The following is a 22,199-nucleotide window of genomic DNA, read 5'->3' on the forward strand; positions in this document are numbered from 1 at the left end:
CCGTCCCCTTTCTGGCCACAGGGCTGTGCAGAATTAGAAGTGCAGTCTATGGAAGGACAAGGACTGGACTTCGCTTGGTGCAAACGCCCCAGCCAGGCGCCCCATACTCACCTAGCACCATTTCACCCTGGAGCTGTTTCCTCCTGTTGAAGCGCTGGTGCTCACACCCCCTACCTTCAGGGCTCTGCAAGCACAGTTCCAAGGTCTGCAGCGCGGGTACAGTGCATGCCCTGCTGAGTGTGCGTCAGAGCAGTTGTCTCCCTGTGACACTTATTCTAAGACCCTTTTTGCTACTCATAAGTGGTAGAGTACCACACTCACTCATGAACCAGTGATAATCCAGGGTACTAACGGGGGCCCCGGAGTTTATTTGGCACCGAAGATTAAGCTACTTGGCAGCTGAATTTTTATCTAGATTGGGGTTAGGTTTGTATTAAAATTTTGCATTCCAGCAAGCCCTAAACCGTGCTTGTTCATTGTGGGATAATGCGTTCAACTGATGAGTTGCCAGGCCAGGATTGATGGGGGATTATGTGTATTCTGCTAGTTTGTCAGCACCTGATGTCACTGTGCTGGGGGGTGGGGGAGGCATGTTTGGAGTTAGGATGAGCAGACACTTGTAGATTTTAATCACACTCTACTTTGGGGCTCCCTGCTCTCCTATGGTAGCAGGGGGTTTCTGTGTCGTTCTTATGTCCTCATGTAAAGCTGCACATCTGTGAATGTCAGGTAGCTCTTGTGCTTTTCCCCTTAGATTGAGTTTCTAATCTGGGAATGACAGAGGGTGGCTGTATATGGAGACAGCAGCATGGGCTTAGGGGCTCTTTTGGTGCCAGTTACCCTACGGAAAAAAGGTTTCTTCAAATCACTTTCTACAAAGACTAAAAAATGGTTGGAATCTAGTGGTGCAGATTGTAATATGACTTCAGGTAATCAATACGGTTTGACAGGTGGAACATTTCTTAGATGCTGATGAGCAGGGCGCAAGTCTCAAGATTTTTAAATCATCTGAAAAGCACAGTAAATCCTTTAAAGAGCCCTACCTTGGCCATGTTGTTTCAAGTAAAATTGAATTTCAGAGGCAAAGCTTCACATCGGAGGCATGACGAACTAAAGAAATCCTTCCCAGAGACCTCCACTCTCTTCCTGTTGCCACCCTCCTCTGCCAGCAGCAGGGCAGGAAAGATGACTTCTTGGGGCTGTGTGCCTTTACCTTAAGAAGCAAGTGCACCCTGAATGCTTCTAATCCCGCAGCTGGGTTGTCTGGGTATTTGGATCTTTTTGGTGCTTGAGGTACTACCCAAGTTGGCAGGAAGCCAGGAGCCTGGGGGTGGAGGTGTCTTAGCCCCACCTGTGGCATGAGACAAGAGGTCTTCTCCAGCAAGGGATGGGTCTCTGACCCTTGGCTAAGAAAACTCAGGATTGTTAAATACGTACTGCATGGATAAGGTTGCTGTGACCCTGAAAAAAGGAAGAAGGCTTTTGGGTGGTGCGTGGTTCTCCTCTTGGAAGTCTTCCCAGATTTCGCCTCAGTACTCTCTTGCCCTAGCTTAAATCTTTCCTTGCTCTGTGTCCCCTTAGGCAAGTGAGGTCTCCTCTCAGGTAGGCATGATATTAAGTGCATGTCTAGAGGACAGTTCCTTCTACCTGCCCAGGTGCACTGGCTGAACTCACCTATGCCCACATCTGTGCATTGGCAGGTGATATAGATATACACCTGAGCTGTCCCCCTGAGCTGCAGACCTAACACTAGGTGTGGGCTCCGAGCTGTTCCACATCAAAACAGAGCCGAGGACACATCTCCCTCACTGAAGCTGTGTCTCCTACCTATTATGGTCAACACGTCTCATCTACTCATTTGTTAAAGCTAGAAATCTCTGGAGAGTTTTGGAGCTCTTTCTCTGTCTTCACTTGAAATCTCTGGAGAGTTTTGGAGCTCTTTGTCTGTCTTCACTTTGCCATCTAATTGGGTCAGCCCTCTCTGAGGGCTCACACCCACTCTTCCGGCACAGCGGAGCCTTATCTGCCCTTGGCCCAGAGAATGCTTCCAGTTCCTTCACTCCAGCCACACCGGCAGCACTTCCCAGTTTAAAACGCAGATTTCATCATCCCACTGTCTTCTGCCTCCCCAACCCCACCAAACCTTGGTTTGTTCTCTTAACGCAGTAAGTGCTTCTGATACCTACTGTGTGCCTTGGACCAAGCTGGAGTCTGAGAAGGTTGGGCCCAGGCATCCTCCCTACCTGTGCAGAGTTTAAGGTCTTGGGCTGGGGGTTGTATGTGGGGTACCTATCAAATAAGACCAGGGAGCGTGAAGTGCTATGGAGGGGAGCTCCTACCCCAGTATAGGGGGCTCCCTGGAGAAGCACCCTCTAAGCTGATACCTGGGAGAGTTGGGGGTGCAGGGGAGGGGTTGGAGTTGGGGCTGGATTGTTCGATGCCTTTCTTCTGTCTCACCCAGACTTCCTTATCTGCTAAACTCCTACTCATTTTTGTTTTAATTAATACCAAGATAGAATTTATCTCTCATAAAGCATGCCCATTCTAAGTGTACAGTTTAATGATTTTCAGTAAATTAATAGAGTTCATAGCCATTACCACAATCCAGTTTTGGAACATATCCATCACCCCAGAAAGATCCCTCTTTTGTACAAACTCCCTGTCCCCGTCCTCAAGCCGCCAGTCCCCCACAGATTTGCTTTCTGTCTCTAGATTTGCCTTTTCTTTCTATGTTTCTTAGTGTGTTTTCATAGGTTCGGCCCAAGAGCTGTTTCATTTGGGCCTTCCTAGAGTCTTCTAGTTAGAATCAATTTATCCCCCAGCACCGACGAAGTGAGCTGGGTGCTTGGCCATCCCGCTGCTAGATGGCGAGCTCTCTTACCTGCCTCTCCTGCCTGCACCTGGCTCAGCACTGGCACCTACAGAATACCCAAGGTGTGTTGGCTGGACCAGCTGAAGTTGTGTTCCTCACATTTCTTTTGTATAACTCCTGAGTATCTAGCAGAGTGTGGGGATTTAAAATACAGCGCATGTATTGATGTGTCAGGTGATGTGAGCCCTGCTACATACATACCTTAACTTGTTTCATCAAGAACTTGTGAGGCAAATGGCAAATCAAAAACAAAAACAAACAAAACAAAACAAAACAAATCTATTTTCTAAGCCAGGCACAGTGGCTCTTGTCTGTAGTTCCAGCTACTAGGGGGTGCTGAGGTGGGAGGATTGCTTGAAATCAGGGATTTGAGCCTGGGCAATATTGTGAGACCCTGCTTCTTAACAAACTTTTTTTTTTTGAGATAGGGTCTTGCTCTGTTGCCCAGGCTGGAGTGCAGTGATGTGATCCCAGCTCACTGCAGCCTTGAACTCCTGGGCCCAAGCAATCCCCCTGCCATAGTCTCCTGAGTAGCTAGGACTACAGGTACACACCACCATGCCTGCTGATTTTTAAATTTTTTGTGGAGACGAGGTCTTGCTATGTTGCCCAGACTGGTCTTGAGCTCCCGGGCTCAAATAATCCTCCAGCCTTGGCCTCTCAAAGTGCTGGAATTATAAGTGTGAACTACTGTGCCTCAGCCCAAGCCATTTTTCTAAATGAAAAAACTGAGGAGGCCCAGAGCAAATAAGTAGCCCAAGGGCATCAGCAGAAAGTAGAAGGATCAAGAATTAAACGAGGTCACTTTCTCTTCCGCCCTTGTTTTGGTAGTAATGATATGCCCTTTTATGGCCTTGCCTGGGCTGGTGTTCAGATTTTCCTGTACGAGTCTTGTCATCCCTTCCTAAGCCATGGAAGCTCCTTCTAGGGCATGAGTGCTGTGTGACACATGTTCACACAGTGTTGCCCCAGTACCTACCTAGTCCACAACTGAACAGGTAGAGATGGTTCAAGCAATGTGTGTGTGTAGAGAGGTCTCCTGGTAAATAGAAGGGGCTGGGGGAGGGCGTTGAATGCAGTGGTGCTGTGGCCTTGGGTGGCTTGGTGCATTTCTGATGCATTTCTCACCTTGGATCATTTTCACTCTTTGAGGAAGAGAGCAGAGGATGAGATGCCATTTGACAGATGCACAAACCAAGACACAGAAATTGTATACCCATTGTACGCCAGGTAGATCACAAATGACCGTTCTCTCCCATGGTTGTAGAGAACTCTCATGGTGGACAGAAACCATGAAAGAAATCATGGTGGAAAGAACCAAGACATTCTTGAATCGGAGTATTAGAACCTCATTTGCAAAATACCTTGGAAAGATCAGGGACACTGGGGTTTGAATTGTAGTCTTTGCTCTGTTGTTTATTGGCTGGTGATGGTCTCTGAATCTGTTTGCTCAGGTGCAGAAAGGGGTTTTAGGCTGAGCTCAGATATTGACAGGAACTACAATTCAAACCCAGGTCTGCAGATGTGGCAGACTGGGTTTGAACTGTAGTCTTTGCTCTGTTTACTGGCTGGTGATGTTCTCTGAGTCTGTTTGGTCATGTGCAGAAAGGGGTTCTAGGCGCAGCTCAGACGTAGATGGGGACGCAGATGTGAGTACCTAGGTGAGTCTGGCTGGTCACGTGTGGAATAAGTGGTGGTGGCTGCCATTACTCTTTAAGCATTCTTGGATCTAGTGCCTCCTCTGCCACTGAGTACAGAATTCCTTTTCAAATTCGGGCTTATGAGGCATGTTTTGATCCAGGCTGTCGTAGCAAGGGATTTGATGCTGGAGTCTGTGACTGCTGTGCGTGTGGAGGCTTCCGGAAGGCAGCCAGTGCTGGTTACTGCTTGGAGTTTGGGGAGCTGCCATTTTGGATTGTCCTAGCCTCATGCCTTCTGAGAAGCATCTGTCAGGGTCCCTGATGCACCTACAGAGACCCTGAGCTTGGTGGTGGGGGTTGCACAGAGAGAGCTGCAGGTTGTTCCTCAGGCATAACGAGGCCCGGAGCTGGTGGTCCCCTCCCTCTGTGAGTGTGTGCAGAGCATGGATCGGGTCTGGGAGTGTTCGTGCTGGCAGGCCGGAGGAGGACTGCTGGGCACACTTGCAGAATTGCGGTTCTGTACAGCAGTGTGTATCGACTGCAGCGCTCTTTTTCTCTAGCAGCAAAATGCTCAGCTCTCTGCCTTCTTTCTGTGCATTTAACAGACGTTTCCAGAAAGCAGAATTGATGACAGCCCCAACTCCTCCCTTTCACTCCCATCTTTTCTATTTGCTGCCCTGTAATCAATTTTTGGAGAGAAGTGAGAACCTCTCGAAATCGATCACCTATGTTGAAAAAAAATCATTTTTAACATCATGCAGTTTTCCGTATTTACTGTGTGTGGCTGGAGACACTCCTGGCAGAATGAGTGTGGGATGTAGGAGGTCCAGAAAAGCCCCCAGCTTCAGGGGCTGAGATAGGGCCATGGGTGGCAGAACTGGTTGTCCCCCCGCCCCCCAATCCCTCAGCAGTGGTTGAGGTGTGCTTTATTAGAAACTCTTCAGTCATGCAGTTTGGAGCCCGTGCTGGTGATGCAGCCTGGATGCCTGGCAGGGGCTTAGCCTCCAGGGGTGGGACATGAGATGTGGCTGCCGTGGCTTCTCTGTGTCTTTCTTCCCAGCGAGTAAAGGTAGACGCAGGGCTCTGGCAGGTGCTAAGGCCCTGCTTGCCTTCATGCTGGAATGCTGGCAGGTACAATTTATTCTTATTTCTTAGGAGGTGCTTTCCCCTCTTCTTTCTGAAGACATCCAGGGATAAAGAATTGCTGCTTTTATGAGCACATGTTCTTGGTGATATGCTGTTACCTTATCTAAAAACAATACGGCCTGGCTGATTATTCTCAGAGCTCATTGTAAGGTGAAAGGTTATGCATTTGAGAATTATTTTCACAGTGTGGATGGGAGTGGGGGGAGAAGATGTAGAGCACAGGTAAGGAATTCCAGGTTTTGGGGCCAGGGATCGCCAAGCAGTGTAAAGGGCTCACTGTGGCCTGTAGCTCCTTCCCCCTGTGGTTTGTGCTGGGCCAGTTGCTGGCTCCCCAAAACCATTATCACCATTATCATTATCACTATCATATCCATCACCTCACCATCATTATCACTGACATCATCACTTTTCTCCATCACCATCATCATCATCATCACTATCATCCCCATCCCCATCATCATCATTACCATCATCATTGCTGTCGCTATCATCATCATCATTCCATTCATCACCATTCATCATCACTGTCATCATCACCATCATCATCACTGTCATCACCATCACCACCACCATCATCACCATCGCCATCATCACTGTTATCGTCACCATTCATCATCACTGTCATCATCATCGTCATCACTATCATCCCCACCATCACCACCATCATTATCACCATTCTCCATCACCATCATCACTATCATCCTCACCATCATCACCATTCTCCATCACCATCATCATCATCACTATCATCCCCACCATCATCACCATCACCATCATCATCACTGTCATCATCAACATCCATCATCACTGTCATCACCATCATCATCACTATCATTACCATCACCATCACCACCATTATCACTGTCATCATCACCTTTCTCCATCACCATCATCATCATCATCATATCATCATCATCATCATCATATCATCCTCATCCCCATCATCATCACCATCACCACCGTCATTGCTGTCATCATCACCATTCACCATCAATGTCGTCATCACCATCATCATCACTATCATCATTATCACCATCATCACCATCACCATCATCATTACTGTCATCATCACCATTCACCGTCACTATCATCACTGTCATTATCACCATCATCATCACCACCACCATCACCATCATCACTGTCATCCCCATCCTCATCATCATCACCATCACTGTCATCATCATCACCATCACCACCATTGCCATCACCATCACCATCATTATCACTGTCATCATCACCTTTCTCCATCACCATCATCATCATCATCATCACTATCATCCCCATCCCCATCATCATCACCATCACCACCATCATTGCTGTCATCACCATTCACCATCACTGTCATCATCACCATCATCGTCATTATCATCATTGTCACCATCGTCACCATCACCGTCATCATCACCATTCATCATCACTGTCATCACTGTCATTATCACCATCATCATCACCACCACCACCATCACCATCACTATCATCGTCATCATCATCACTGTCACCACCATCACCATCACTGTCACCAACATCATGGTGCTTCTCAACCTTTGGGCTGCTTTGGGTCGTGCTTGACATGGCACATTCCTGGTGAGTTAGCTGTTCTTTGGGGGTTTTCTACTGTTGGTGTGGTGATTAGGGTAGTCAGGACAGGATGAGTATAGGCATAGAGAACCCAAGTGGATGATGGTGGAGTGTGATTCTTCTGAAAGGGTCTTCATGAGAACCACTGATCTAGAAGATTCTGGGAGAATCTCACGTATTCTTTCAGGCCCAGGAGTAAGCCAGTGTTACCTGCTCTGTGGAGCTCTCCTTTGTCCCTCCAGGGAGGACAAATTCTGGCTGGAGCCTGACCTTACTGCTTGTCCATCTCTCCCAGGGTGGTAGGCCACTTTAGGTAGGACCCTGTGGATTTCTCCTTGGTGACCCCCGCATTCTGGGCACAGAGCCTGGAACACAATGTCTGCCCAGATGTGTGACTGAACCACCCCCCAATTCCTTAACTGTAGGATGGCGGCTGCCTTCATTAGAATCTTAACACCTTGCCTGAGGGCTGGCTTTGCAGGTCTGAGTGGCTAGGTCAGGGCACTGCTAGTGTTTTCTATGTTTGTAGTCAATTGGTGAGAGTTTGTTTTACGCATTTGTTAAAACTGTGGGACAGTGGTCTGGAAGCCAACAAGGCTTTAGGGTTGGCAGAGTGACTCCCATCCCATCATTGATGTCTGGCTTTGACTTGGCATGGGAGACATTGCCTCTCCAGATCTCAGTTCTCTCGTTTGACAAATGGGGCTTAGGGTTGAACAGCCTCTAAGTCCTCTGTCAGCTCTGCAATTCAGGAAAGATGTTTAAAAATGCATACTTGCATTGTAGGTACATCCAACATAGAGCAAAGAGAGAATTTTCCTAGCTAAATTGACTGCAAAAAAATGAAACCTCTTGGGCCGGGCGTGGTGGCTCATGCCTGTAATCCCAGCACTTTGGGAGGCTGAGGCGGGCAAATTACGAAGTCAGGAGTTCAAGACCAGCCTGGCCAACATGGTGAAACCCCGTCTCTACTAAAAGTATAAAAATTAGCTGGGCTTGGTGGCGGGCGCCTGTAATCCCAGCTACTCGGGAGGCTGAGGCAGGAGAATTGCTTCAACCCAGGAGGCAGAGGTTGCAATGAGCTGAGAGATCTGAGCCACTACACTCCAGCCTGGGTGACAGAGCAAGACTCCGTCTCAGGGAAAAAAAAAAAAAAAGAATCCTCTTATAATATGCAGGCATCTTAGCAACTGCCATCTTAGCAACTGCCATCTTAAGAGGCAGCATTATGATTCAGAAGAAACTGATAACATTGAGGAATACATTTGTGGAGCACAGATTAGGAGAGATTGGTGCAGGGGTGGGGGGTGGCAGGAAGATATTAAGGTTGGAATTTAGGGAGGTGAGCTCTGTGGGTTGGTTTCATGCATCCAGCTCACCATTCAACCTTTCCTGTTAACTTCCTATATTAAGGAGGCTGAGATTAAGAAGACAGGGACTCGTGGCGTAAGGGCGAGACAGACATAGAGGTGAGTGACTGCAGTGGGATATTCACTGTGGGAGCATTGAAGGTTGGCAGTCAGCTAGATTCTTAGGCTGTAGATCGGGGGCCTTATTTAGAAGCTGTTTACTGTTCCCTTAAGAGGATCCTCTAGCAGGAAAAACCACTGCTAGGGTTGTTGCTTTCCTCATTATAATGATGTCTTTATGTTCGTCTTAGGAGGTGATAGTACTGATTATTTAAGAAACTGGTCAGCCAAACTTCTTAACTAATTGTGAATTAGAGAAAAGTCAGAAGTAGGGAGTATTATAGAGATAAGTAATTGTATTATTTTCAGACAAAAGTATATGTAGTAATGTAAACTACTGACCAGATTTTGTTTCAAATTGTTTTTTTTAAATGAATTGCTAAGAATTATTTGAAATTAGCACATTAGCGGTAATAAGATAGTAGATATTAGATAGATTAGATTAGGATAGTAGGTAGTAGATGTAGGTATAAAGAGACTGAAAATCAGCTGTTTAAACATTTTTCCCAAATGTGGGGCTAGGAAGCAAGATAAAGAATTATGCAGGCCAGGCGCGGTGGCTCACGCCTGTAATCCCAGCACTTTGGGAGGCCGAGGCGGGCGGATCATGAAGTCAGGAGATCGAGACCATCCTGGCCAACACGGTGAAACCCCGTCTCTACTAAAAATACAAAAAAAATTAGCCGGGCGTGGTGGCGGGTGCCTGTAGTCCCAGCTACACGGGAGGCTGAGGCAGGAGAATAGGGTGAACCCAGGAGGTGGAGCTTGCAGTGAGCCGAGATCGCGCCACTGCACTCCAGCCTGGGCAACAGAGCGAGACTCCGTCTCAAAAAAAAAAAAAAGAATTATGCAGACAGTTTCATTTCATTTATGTTTGGACGGGGAAGAAAGTCAGAAAATAGATGGGAAGGAAACATATCTAAATGTTAACGGTGGTTGTATTCCATGGGATCATGGGTCTTTCTTGATTTTTCATGTTTTGCCACATTCTAAATTTTCACCAGTGGGCATTTATTATTTTTGCAATTAGACAGGAAAGAGCCTCCAGGAGGAACTCCAAATACCCATCCTTTATTTACCCTCTTAATTTGCTTACCAAACTTTCTTGTTATGGTTAGACTGGCTGGCATCCATAATTTCCATACTTGTGATTATTTAAATTAATGGAAATTTATCATAATCCCTTATTAAAATTTCTTCGCTGCACTGAAATTCAACACTGAGCAAATCTGTTACCTAGGACATAAAGAAAAACATTCAGTCCACGTGCGGTGGCTCATGCCTGTAATCCCAGCACTTTGGGAGGCTGAGGCAGGCGGATCACTTGAGGTCAGGAGGTCGAGACCAGCCTGGCCAACATGGTGAAACCCCATCTCTACTAAAAATACAAATATTAGCTGGGCATGGTGGCTCACGCCTGTAGTGCCAGCTACTCGGGAGGCTGACACATGAGAATTTCTTGAACCCAGGAGGTGGAGGTTGCACTGACCCGAGATCAGGCCACTGCACTCCAGCCTGGGCAACAGAGTGAGACTTGCTCTCAAAAAAAAACAACATCCAGAGTCTTCCAGGAAATTTACCGTTTCAGTGTGGCATAGTGTAGAGTTTGTTTATTATCTAGAATATGGTTTTTCTTTTTTGTGTTCTTGAACTTGGGCGTTCACTTCGTTTGTTGACCTGGAAGGAGCCATCTCGGCGCCTGCTGTTTGAACCTTGGGTATTTTAATGAAGTGGTTTGATGTCCTGATACCACCAGCCCCTGCTGTTGCTTTTCACGGCCCTGGCTTTTCCAGGAATAATCTCCTTACTGTTTGTCATTCTAATATGTTTCAGCTCCCTTTTTGAAAATAACTTTTTCTGCTCCCCTTCCCTGCCCATTCTTCATGACCCCCAGAGAATGGGCCTGCTGGTCTCTAGCCCCTGTGAATTGGAAGACTCCTGGCGATGATCCTTCTTTTTCTCTCTGTGACTCAGGCGGTTGATGTTGGGTTGACCGTATTTCTTTGCTGGCTGGTAAGCAGGGCCACCTCAGCCCTTGTGAGGGCCATGCCTGACTTTCAATGGCTTCCCTCCAAAGGCTTCTTAGGCCGTTCCTCCCCATCGTTTTTCAGAGGTTTAATCTGTTTGAGTCCAGGATATTGAGTCAGCAGTGGAAAGTTATGAAGATGAGGCCAGCCATCAGAAAAATTGGCTAATATGAAAGATTAATTCCAGGGTGAACAAAGGAGAGGGATGCTGGGGCCGGGCTGCCTCCCCAGGCAAATCACATCACTGTAAAATCCGAGAAACCAGAAGTTGCCTTTGCTACTCACTCAGTGGCTGCTTGCTGTTTCTTGGATTAGATATTGAAAGAATCCCATCTTTATAGTCTACTGTTCATATTTATGGTCTGGAGAAGAAAATGTAATTTTCAGCAAAATTCTATCACGTCTGGTAAATAATTTCAGGATCTTTACCTATGATACCACATTAAAAAAAATTCGTATGGCTTCAGCATTCAGAAATTGTTCTTTTCAAACTCTGGGCCCTCGGGTTATTACAAGATTTAACACCGAGGCAGGAAGCCTGCTCGCCTATCACTGGAGACAGGTAGGTTGCTATGGAGACCAGGTGTGTGTCCCTGCGGTTTCCTGGGTATCCCAGTTGTCCTGGAAAAGAAATCAGCTCACTTTATGTGATATTTCTGCAATAGTGTGTGTGAATTAAGTTTTTCTAAACACAGATCAGATGTTTTTGTTGACTTACAGTGTGATTTCTGACATAATTTTGTCCTCGGTTTTGTTTTGCTTAATTATGAATCCTACATAACCCTACCTTTTCCTATCAGAAGCACTTCCATGCATCAAGACCCCCTATCCAAAACAGCCACAACAACTTCACCAACAAAATCTCTTAAAGCTAGAGATGCCTGCTTTGGTGTGAATGATGATTACCCCTTAAAATAATTCAACAATTTTTTTTTTTTTTTTTTGAGACAGGGTCTCAGTCTGCCTCTCAGGCTGGAGTGCAGTGGCGTGATCTCGGTTCACTGCATCCTGTGCCTCCTGGGTTCGAGCAATTCTCCTGCCTCAACCTCCTGAGTATCTGGGAGTACCGGGATGCACCACCATGCCTGGCTAATTTTTGTATTTTTAGCAGAGACGGGGTTTCACCAGGTTGGCTAGGCTAGTCTCAAACTCCTGACCTCAGGTGATCCACCCACCTTGGCTTCCCAAAGTGCTGGGATTACAGGTGTAAACCACCATGCTCGGCCTCAACAATTATTATATATGGTTTGCCAGATCCTGGCCTGGGCACTGGGGATGCAAGATAGAGCAAGACCATTGGAGGCCCTGCCCTGGCGGAGCTTGTATTAGGGTTGTGATCCTAGACCACATGAAGCCCACAAGGGGGCCCTGGGCTCACCCGTTCCTGGCTCACATTCACTGTCAGCCACAGCTAAACCTCGGGGCCTGGAACCTCTCTTGTTGTCCCCATGGGACGAGTGGGCACATGCCTTGTTGGATGGACAATAACATCATCTGTTTTTGTTTGATGTGTTATTATTCAGAGGCATTTTTCAGAATGGAGAACAGTGCCTTATCAGTCTGCTTCTGATAATTTTATACATGAAAAAAATCCTATTTGTGCATATTCTTGGGTCTCTCCCCATTTCTAAAGGCAGTCAACTTGGTGGTTGGCTGTAAAAAGCTCTTTACACTTCCTAGGACTTGTCAAATATTGACAAGTCTTTCTCCTTTCATCCAGTTCAGCACCAGCATCCTCAAACTCACTGAAACAGAGCATCCCACAGTGGCAGCCACTGTAGGCCCCAGGTGGGTATCCTACTCCTCCACCCCCGCCCCAGACTCCCCCAACCCCAGCTCGCACCTGCAGAAGTTACGTCTTTGCAGTTATTTCAGGAGAAAAAGGCGGCCACTCTTTCTCTCCCTTCTTTGGGTTTGTGTTCAGCAAGGGTCTACTGCAGTCCCGGTGCCGGACAGCCTGTTTTGCCCATGCTTGTTAACTGATGGGGTCCTCAAGTGGCCTTGTGACAGGCCTGATAAGGCCGCACGTGGGTGTGGTTAGAGTTGATGACCGCTCCGGACATTGGCGATGTGAGGAAAGTGACAGACTCCAGCCTCCATGTGCAGCCGGTGATTGGCCGGGTGGGCTCGGTTTTCTAGTGGCAAAGGATGCTGTGATCTGAATAAGAAAACAAACCTCAGGCCCCAAGTGCCACGGGCTTAGAGACTTGAGAGGAGGTGCTTGCAACTCCATCTGGGAGGCTAAGGGCAGCCAAGAGCTGCTGTCTTGAGGCTGACCCACTCCCTTGCAGTGTAATGGGTAGTGAACAGGCCATCCTTTTTAAAGGAAAATAAGTGCCTCCCTATGGACTCTGTTCCTATCCTGCTACCCTCCCTGAAGCTTGAATAGCACCCACCCGTGCCTTCTCCATGCCAGCCCTTGGGTCTGCCGGGACCACTGCCATGCTTTTGATGGACACGGCCTTGTAGCGTCTATATCCTCATCTGTGAAATGGGAATTCCACAGCCTCCCTTTCGCAGGCTGCTTGTAATAGTTGCCATTAAACCTCTTCTGAACTCTAAAGTGCTGTATCAATGTAAGGACCATCATCAACATCATTGTCGTCCTCATCGTGAGTCTTTCCAAATTCACCTCCTGCTGCCCCAGCACGGGAGTGTCTGAGACTGCAGGTTTCCTTGATGGGTTCCTGGGGCTTCCCTTGTGGAAATTTGAGTTCTGAGCCTTCTGCACTTTTCCATCCCCCAGTCTGGAGTCAACCTGTATTTTTCATTTTCCCTCTGCAAGATGTCAGCCCATAGGAGAGGCCTGGAGGCTTGCAGGGGAAATGGGACGATGTTTGAAGGAAGCCCCCGTGCCTGTGGGAGCATGCAGCCTCCTCCGTCTTTTTGTCTGCCAGGCAGGGGAGTAATTTGCCGTTATGTACTGGGCAGTCTGGGAGCTGGACTCTCAGATGAAAAATGCTTGTTCAAGCACAGACAGCCAGGCATGGCTCAAATCAGAGCATCGATTTAGCAAGCAGCTCTGCTCAAACAGCCAGCTGTGTGATCACCTTTTCAGGGGATGATAGGCTGACGGGCAGGTGGGGTGGGGTGGGGTGGGGTGGGGTGGGCAGACTAATACAGGGACCCTGTGTTTGGGAGCCTCTGTTTAAGCAGAGACCGGGCCTGGAGAGAGTATCCCTGGGTAGGGAAAGGTGCTCTCACATTAGTGGGTTCCACCTGGCCCCTTGGTGGAGCTCCCATTCATTCATTCACTCATTCACTCATTCATTCACATCGTGTCTACTATGTGCCAGTCTCTGTGCTAAGAGAGTGATCCAAGCAGAAGGTCTGAAATCCTCAGGGATTCGTTTCCCAGCCGACTTATGCCTTACTAAGTGGAGCAGGTTCTGGGCTGCAGGGGACTGACTTGCTGCTGCAGGTCTGGGTCTTGAACTAAGGGAGAAAGACAATGCCCATCTTCTTCTTGGCGCAGTCATTTGAGGAGAGGAGCATTTGCTTCTTGCCAACCTGCCTGCCTGGGAGGCCCTCTTGCTCCTGCAGCCCCCCGAGTCCCCTTTGCAGCTCCCAGTCTTGCTTGGGGTTGCCTCCTCCAAGAAGCCTCCTGGGCTAGCTCAGGCATCCTGTGGAGGCACTGCTGGGCCACTGATGCCTGAGCTCCTGTGGCCTGGCTGTCTGCAGGGCTTCAGTCCTGGCCTTTCACTTCCCAGACATGAGTCTTATCTTTCCACTTGGTTAGGGCCTCCCCACGGACATGGACGGATATGGTTTGGATTTGTGTCCCCACCCAAATCTCGTGTTGAATTGTAATCTCCAGTGTTGGAGGAGGAGCCTGGTGGGGGGTGATTGGATCATGGGAGCAGAGTTCCTCTTGCTGTTCTCATGATAGTGAGTGAGTTCTCACGAGATCTGGTTGTTTGAAAGTGTGAAGCACCTCCCCCTGCTCTCCCTTCTGCTCCAGCCATGTAGGACGTGCCTGCTGTCCCTTCTGACGTGATTGTAGGTTTCCCGAGGCCTCCCCAGCCATGCTTCCTGTGCAGTATGTGGAACCGTGAGCCAATTAAACCTCTTTTCTTTATAAATTACCCAGTCTCAGGTAGTTCTTTATAGCAGTGCGAGAACTGACAGGGACCGTGTGTTTGGGAGCCTCTGTTTAAGCAGAGACCGGGCCTGGAGAGAGAATCCCTGGGGAGGGAAAGCTGCTCTCACATCAGTGGGCTCCACCTGGCACCTTGGTGGGGCTCCCATTCATTCATTCATTCACTCACTCATTCATTCACATAGTACCTAGTATATGTGCCAGTCTCTGTGCTAAGAGAATGATCTAGGCAGAAGACCTGCCCGCTCAGGGCTTCTGTTTCTAGCTGGGAGCAACAACAGTAAACTAAATAAGCAGATTATATTGTATAATATAGTAATACTTAGAAGGTGATGAGACTGTGGAAAACAATACATTAGTGAAGAGGGTGAGGGTATTGGATGGAAGAGCGTGAGTGTATTAGGCCGTTCCACATTGTTATAAAGAAATACCTGAGACACGGTCATTAATAAAGAAAAGAGATTTAATTGTCTCACGGTTCTTCAGGCTGTACAGGAAGCATGGTGCTGGCATCTGCTCAACTTCTAAGGTGGCCTTGAGAAGCTACAATCATGGCGGAAGGTGACGGGGGAGCAGGCACGTCACATGGAGAAAGCAGAAGCAAGAGAGAGAAAAATGCAAGGTGCCACACACTTTTAAACAACCAGATCTTGTGAGAACTCACTATCTCGAGGACAGAACCAAGGGGATGGTGAGAAACCATTCATGAGAAATCCACCCACATGATCCAGTCGTCTCCCACCAGGCCTCATCCCCAACTCTGGGGATTACAATTCAACATGAGATTTGGTTGAGACATCCAAGCCGTATCAGTGAGAGATGCAGTTTTTTTTTTTCAGGGGAAAGTGTTGTTGTTGTTGTTGTTTTAATAAGATATAATTTACATACCATATACCATGAAAGTCGCCATTTAAAAATGTACAATTCAGTTGCTTTTAGTATACTGGCAAAGTTGAGCACCAGTAGCTACTAATTTCAGAACATTTTCATCACCCCAGAAAAAAATCTCATAGCCATTAGCAGTCACTCCTCAATCTCCTCGTGCCCTAGGCCCTGGAAACCAATAATTTACTTTAGGTGTCTCTGGATTTGCCACTTCTGGACATTTTATATCAAGGAAATCATGCAATATGAGGCCTTTTGCATCTGGCTTCCTTTACCAAGCACAGTGTTTTCATGCACCGCCAATGCTGCGTGTGTATCTGTACTGCATGCCTGTAGATGGCGGAATAATATTCCAATGTATGGATAGACCACATTTTGTTTATCCATTCATCTGTTGATGAACATTTGGGCTGTTTTCACTTTTGGCTATTCTGAACAATGCTGCGAGGAACAAGTTTTTTTTGTACAAGCGTGCAAGTTTTTTGTGGATGTATGTTTTCATTTCTCTTAGGCAAATAGAGAGACACAATTTTACTTTTTATTTATTTTATTTTTTATTTTTTTAGAGACAAGGTCTTGCTCTGTTGCCCAGGCTGAAGTGCAGTGGCGCCATCATAGCTCACTGTAGCCTGCAACTCTATGGATTACATGTTCCTCCTGCCTCAGCCTCTTGAGTTGCTGGGACTACAGGCATACCCCATCATTCCTGGATAATTTTTAAATGTTTAGTAGAGATGAGTTCTCACTAGATTGCCCAAATTCGTCTTGAACTCCTGGGCTTAAGTGATCCTCCCAAGTTAGCCTTATAAAGTGCTGGGATTAGAGGCATGAACCACTGCACCCAGCCACAGTTTTAAATAGGGTGGTCAGAGAAGGTCTCATGAGAAGGTGACATCTGAGCAAAGACTTGAAGAAAATAAGGGCAGAAGCCACACGAAAACCCCAGCAGGACAGCAGGTGCAAGGGAACAGCAAGTGCAAGGATGCTTCCACCAAGGGGCTGGAAAATGAAAGGCTTGACTTCACCAGCTGCCTCCCAACCAGGGGGCCCAGTGAGTTTAGGCCTCACTGGCCCTTTCTGGCTGAGGGGCAGCCTGCTGCGAGGGGTTTCCCTTTCTGAATAAAGAGTCAAAGTCCCAAGACAGATGATTTTTGACCCATGCATCTTCTTCCTGCCTGGAAAGCAGATGTGATTCCTGGAGATGGGGCAGCTGTTCTGTGGCCATGAGGTTGAAATCCATGTGCTAAAGACAGTAGAGCAGAAGAAGACTGGGACCTTGATGGCATTCTTGAGCTACCGCCTGAACCTTGGATCTCCTGCACCTGAACTTTGCTCTGTGACACAAAGAAGACCCTTTCTTATCTAAGCCACTCTTATCTAAGCCACCGCTTGTCACGTTTTATGTTGTTTGCAGCCAAATGCATTCCTCATTGATGGAATGTCCAACATTGTCCCCAAGTCCCCCAGATAGATCCCTGGGGGCTCTTGACAGACAGACAGCAGGCAAGCCTGGGACACACGCTGCCCCCTTCTGCTTTCCTGTCCCTCCATCGTGTTAAGCTGGTCTCTCAGGTGGGCATCAGGATTCAGCTATCCCAGGCTGACCCTGAGGTCCACCATGACTGTGCTGCAGCCACCACCACTGGCCGCTTCATGGCATGTTTCCAGCACAACTCTCTGACCTGGCTCCCCCGGTTCCCCAGACGCGTTCCCCACGGAGTCCCAGCGTGTATGCATGGGGTCACGGTGCTCCACGCTCTCAACCGTTGGTTGCAGGTTCCCGTCCAGCCTCTCAAGCTGGCTGCTCCCCTTTCTCAGTTGTCCCCTGTGCCTCTTGTACCCTAACTTCAGTGTTAGAGCACCTTTCAGGGGGAATGGCGTAAAAAAGCCTTCCTTTCCAGTAGACAGAGTGCCCTGGCCAGCAGAGGCCAAACACATTCCCATTCAGCTTTGTTTCATGCTGGATCTGGCCCCAGGCCTGCACCTGGCCCTGGCAGTGGGCGCACGTTAGGTGGGATTGCTGAAGACAATGGGTGACTGAGGCAGTTACAGGTGTCAGCCCCAGATGAGGCTCCCCAACCTGTACCCTTTACCCTGGAGCTGGCCCCATCTCTCACAGCCCAGTGGTGTACTACCTTAGGTAAGCACCAGTTGCGCCTCACTCTAATGAAAATAATAAAAGCTCAAATGACCAGCACTGTCCTACTGCTTTATACGCATGACCTCAGGTAATGAGAATTAGCCCACATCCATTCATTCCACAAATATTTATGGAGTGCCTACTGTATGCCAGGGATTCTTCCAGGCACTGGGGAGACATTTAAAAAACAATAACAACAACAACAAAAATCTGCGTCTTGTCGGAACTTCCATATACACTTCCACTGGCTACTTCATGGAAACATCTGGAACATCTGATTTTTCTAGTCTTCCCATTACTAAATGTGGCACAAGAACGTAGTCTAAAGGATGTACTTCACCATGCAAAAGCTCTTGTCATTTCAGAAAAGGAAGGAGAATTAAGTAAAATGTACTTCAAGAAAGTCAGTTAAGAATTTTTCCAGTTAATGAAAATTTAAAATGATTGGCTTTCATCTTGCTGTTTTCCAGGGTCCCACTATTAAGAACTCACTCATCCTGTTGTTATTAAGGGTGAAACCCAGACATTTCCTTATGTAAAAGCCAATTAAAATAAATTAAATGCAAATACTGTTTCATTGTCATGTCAGTTTTGAGAACCGGATCAATCAGAGGTTGTGGAAATGCCAAAGTTGTTAAGGCTGTGGTTACCATGACAACAGCTCTATTGTGTAAGTGGTCTGTTATTTGGGAATTCTTCCTTAGGTCAGGCTAACAGTGATGTCATTTCTCAGGGAAGGGGACGGAGTTCTCTGGAGTCAGGTCTGGGGCCAGGAGACCTGGTGAGCAAAAACTGGGGTTCAGCCAGAACTACCAGTTTTGTGACCATGGGAGACAGTCCCTTCCCCTTTTGCCTCAGTTTCCTCGCTTTGGGGATAGCCATTGCACAGCTGTGAGTATATTGTGGCCATTCAGCACTTCTCAAAAGTTGCTGCTCTGCTAAAAAATTTTGGGGATTCCTGATTTGCCGGCTGGTTTTCAGCCTATGTTTTGGGGAAATGCAAATGATAGGAAACCACCCCTGGTCCTGCCTTACCGGTTCTAGCAGACCTTTGGTGAAACTGGGAGTTCTTGGGTCCTCTTGGCTAGTGGCTAGTGAATACCTGCTGGGGGAGGGGGTGTTTGCTTTGCTTTGTGTTGGGGGTGGGGTTGTTATTGGTTTTTACATTTTGTTTGCAATATTGGGTTTGCTGGTTTTTGTGTTTTTTTTTTTTTTTTTTTTTTTTGAGACAGAGTCTCGCTCTGTCACCCAGGCTGGAGTGCAGTGGCATGATCTTGGCTCACTGCAATCTCCACCTCCCAGGTTCAAGTGATTCTCCTGCCTCAGCCTCCCGAGTAGCTGGGATTGCAGGCCTGCACCACCACGCCCAGCAATTTTTTTTTTTTTTTTGTATTTTTAGTAGAGACAGGGTTTCTCCATGTTGGCCAGGCTGGTGTTGAACTCCTGACCTCAAGTGATCCACCCACCTTGGCCTCCCAAACTGTTGGGATTACAGGCGTGAGCCACTGTGCCCAGCCGGGTTGCTGTTTTAGTTGGTTTTTGATTTTAGAGAGAGGGTCTCGCTCTGTGGCCCAGGCTGGAGCACACTGGTGCCGTCGGAGCACACTGGTGCCGTCATAGCTCACTGCAGCCTTGGCCCCCTGGGCTCAGGCGATCCTCCCGACATCGTAATTACATTTTTGCAGGGTTTTCAGTTCACAGGTGTGCTCTCCCACATCCCCATTTAAGTTTACTTATTTTTCAGCCCCAGCCTCTGAGGCTATCATTATTTTACAGACGAGAACACCGGGACTCAGAGGGTGATTTGTCCCTAGTCTCAGGGCTCCAAGGCGGCAGTGCCAGCGTTGGTGGGGGTCCCCAGTGCCAGGCCAGGGTGGCACTGTTCTCCCTGTGCCTCTCTGCTTGTCCCCACTGCCTGCTTCTGCAGAGGCCTGCTCAGAGCAGGTTTCCAGCAACCTTCCTCGCCAGCATCCTGCTAAGCAGGCCCTGGAGGGCGGTTTCCCTGCTTCCCCACACCGGGCCAGAGCTGCCTTGATATTTATTTCAGGGCATCCCTGCAGAGGGAACTGCTAATGCAGTCATGGCTTTAAGACGTCACAAGCCACAGCTGCAGGTGCTTCATCTTAAACATCTGCCTTCCTGGCTGGGAGAAGCCCGGGAGCACCTGCTGCAGGTGTCTTTGCACCTCGGTCCTGCTGGTCCCAGGCCCAGCTGCGGCCAATTAGCACCTCTGTTGGGCACCATGGCCATTTCCTTGCTGCATGGGAGCCGCTGGCCTTTTTCCACTGTGTTGGGGGAAAGTTGTTGGGAAATGAGGAAGCAGTTGGGGATTTAAAAACTCTATGCAGGAAATAGGCTGTTGGGTTAACATTTAAGCCACTGAACAGTCATGGAGTGTTTGCTTGGAAGTGAGGCCCACGAGGCTGCAGAGGGCCATGAGATTCAAGGATGGTGTTCGTCAGGCCTGTCCGTCATCCTCTCTGGGTTCGACACCATCTCAGGGTACTCATGCCTGTTAGGTGCTTGGTGAACAAAGGCATCCCAGACAGAATCAACCCAGAAGGAAGAGGGGTGGGTGGTAAACGTTCGTTAACTTAGCCATGTTCTCTTAGGGTTTCTTCTCAAAATAAGGGCAGATGGGAGATCTCCCTGCCTCAAGGGGTCCCTGGCCAAGGGGCTACAGGCAGATATTGCCCAGTCAGCCCCAGTGAGGTGACAGAAGGCGGGAGGTGGCTTCAGTGTGTTTGAAGGAGGCTGGCATCACAGGTTCTAAAGCAGATGGCAGGAGCCCTGTGGCTGGGCCTGCTTCAGAACCTTGGCTGGCTGCTCCTTGGAGGTGAGGTGGGGGCAGGCAGTGTTGGCTGGAGACTTGTGGGGGGAATTGGCCGCCTGGGGTGCGTGCTGGCCTGCCTGCCTTCCGCTTCCGTGCCATGAGCCCCTTGTTCTCAGCTGTGAAGGTAGGTGAGGCTGCCCTGCACCAGCCAGCAGACTGGGTTAAGGTGGGAATCAAAGGAGAGGAGGTGTTCAGCTGGCTGGAGACCTGCTGAGCCCCTTGCATGAGGAGGGATTTCTGTCCAGCGCCCCTGGTCCTCAAGCTCCTCCTCAGCAGCGTTCATGAGCACAGGGTGTGGGTGTGACTGGTCCCTTTGGGCAGAATCTGAGAGTGCCCCCTTCTCCCTCCCTGTGCATTTGAAAGTTGGCTGGTGCTCGCTGACAGATGCCGAGGCTCCCGTTTGGCAGCTGGCCATGGCAGCCGCTTGTCCTCCACTCTCCCTAGATTTGGCTGAGCTGGGCCCCTGCTGTGCCCCACATGCCCCGGCTCTTTGTCTCGGTTGTCCCTTTGGCTCAGCTCTGGGTGTCGGCTCCTCGGAAGCCCTTCGTCACCCAACCAGAGTGAACTCCTTCTCCCAGGTGGCCAGAGCATGTTGAAGTGACCCTGACTTTCTTCTGTGGGTCCTACATTTTAGCGGGGAGTACAAGTGCCTCTTCACTGCAGCATCTCCTAAGGAAGTGAGCCTGTGGGGAGGTCTCTGATGCTACTGGGAATCCAGCTTCACCTTCCCCCAACTCCTGGGATTTGCAGCCACAGCTAAGAGTGGGAGAACTTTGCCTTGTTTGCATTGCTCCAGATCGTGTTAAACAGAATTTCAAAACATGCATTTTGTAGGTAGTAGTTCTGTCATCCAGAATGTGTAAAGTAACTCTCTAGGTAGCTGTTATGGATGGCCTGCAGGAAGGATCATACCAGTGACTTCTTTTGAGCCCCCTGCCGAGTGGCTAGCGTCAGGTGGGGGATTAGACTCTGGTTCTTTGCTTCCTGGCCCTGTGAGCCCCAGGCAAGTCAGTTAACTTCTTGGAGCCTCAGTTTCCTGACATGCAAATCATACTGACCTGGTAAGGCTATTGTCAGGATTATATGAGCTATTATATCCTAAAGTATATTATATCATACTTTATAGAGCGTAGTATATATTCAACTAACTGCATTTGTGTTAGTTCCTTTATTTTGTTAACATGGGGATCAATGGCTTTTTTTTTCTGATTTGGTATTTATTTTAAGACTAGGTTGGGAACCAATTTTCCATAGTCATCTGTGGGTATAAGTACTCTTACCTTCAGCCAGGACTTAATTTTGGCCAAGAGCCTTGGCTTATTCCAGCAGAGAGTGGAGTTATTTAGAGCCAAACTGTAGGGGACTGAATTCTCTGTGTAGCACTTTCTGCAGACAGTGGTAACATTAATGACTTACTGCATATACATTCATAAGTGGGTGATTTATGGTTAGCCCCGGATCCATAACTTTCATTTCCTGACTGATATATCAGAAGCTTCATGTATAAAGG

At 48.2% G+C, this 22,199-nt stretch overlaps 1 protein-coding gene across 15 annotated transcripts in view, besides 2 other annotated features; it reads left to right on the forward strand.

The window, feature by feature from the left end:
• The window catches only part of HPCAL1 (hippocalcin like 1), a 124,701-nt gene that overhangs the window by 2,856 nt on the left and 99,646 nt on the right, over positions 1–22,199 (forward strand). For 3 of the 15 annotated variants that reach the window (XM_047444097.1, XM_011510348.2, XM_047444096.1), the window contains exon 1: positions 5,944–18,747. The exons of the other annotated variants lie outside the window; for them this stretch is intronic. The gene's annotated coding sequence lies outside the window, so the exon portion shown is untranslated. Of the gene's footprint in view, positions 1–5,943; positions 18,748–22,199 lie in introns of those variants that run through there. 15 annotated transcript variants of the gene reach the window in all.
• Positions 13,849–14,349: an enhancer, noted in NCBI's record as "H3K4me1 hESC enhancer chr2:10459734-10460234 (GRCh37/hg19 assembly coordinates)". NCBI's record gives its function as "activates a minimal SCP1, AML or CMV promoter by ChIP-STARR-seq in naive H9 embryonic stem cells {active_cell/tissue: H9 hESC(naive)}" and the evidence as "EXISTENCE:reporter gene assay evidence [ECO:0000049][PMID:30033119]".
• Positions 14,350–14,850: an enhancer, noted in NCBI's record as "H3K4me1 hESC enhancer chr2:10460235-10460735 (GRCh37/hg19 assembly coordinates)". NCBI's record gives its function as "activates a minimal SCP1, AML or CMV promoter by ChIP-STARR-seq in naive H9 embryonic stem cells {active_cell/tissue: H9 hESC(naive)}" and the evidence as "EXISTENCE:reporter gene assay evidence [ECO:0000049][PMID:30033119]".

The sequence above is a fragment of the Homo sapiens genome, chromosome 2 (genome assembly GCF_000001405.40).
Source record: "Homo sapiens chromosome 2, GRCh38.p14 Primary Assembly".
Classification (NCBI taxonomy): Eukaryota; Metazoa; Chordata; class Mammalia; order Primates; family Hominidae; genus Homo; species Homo sapiens.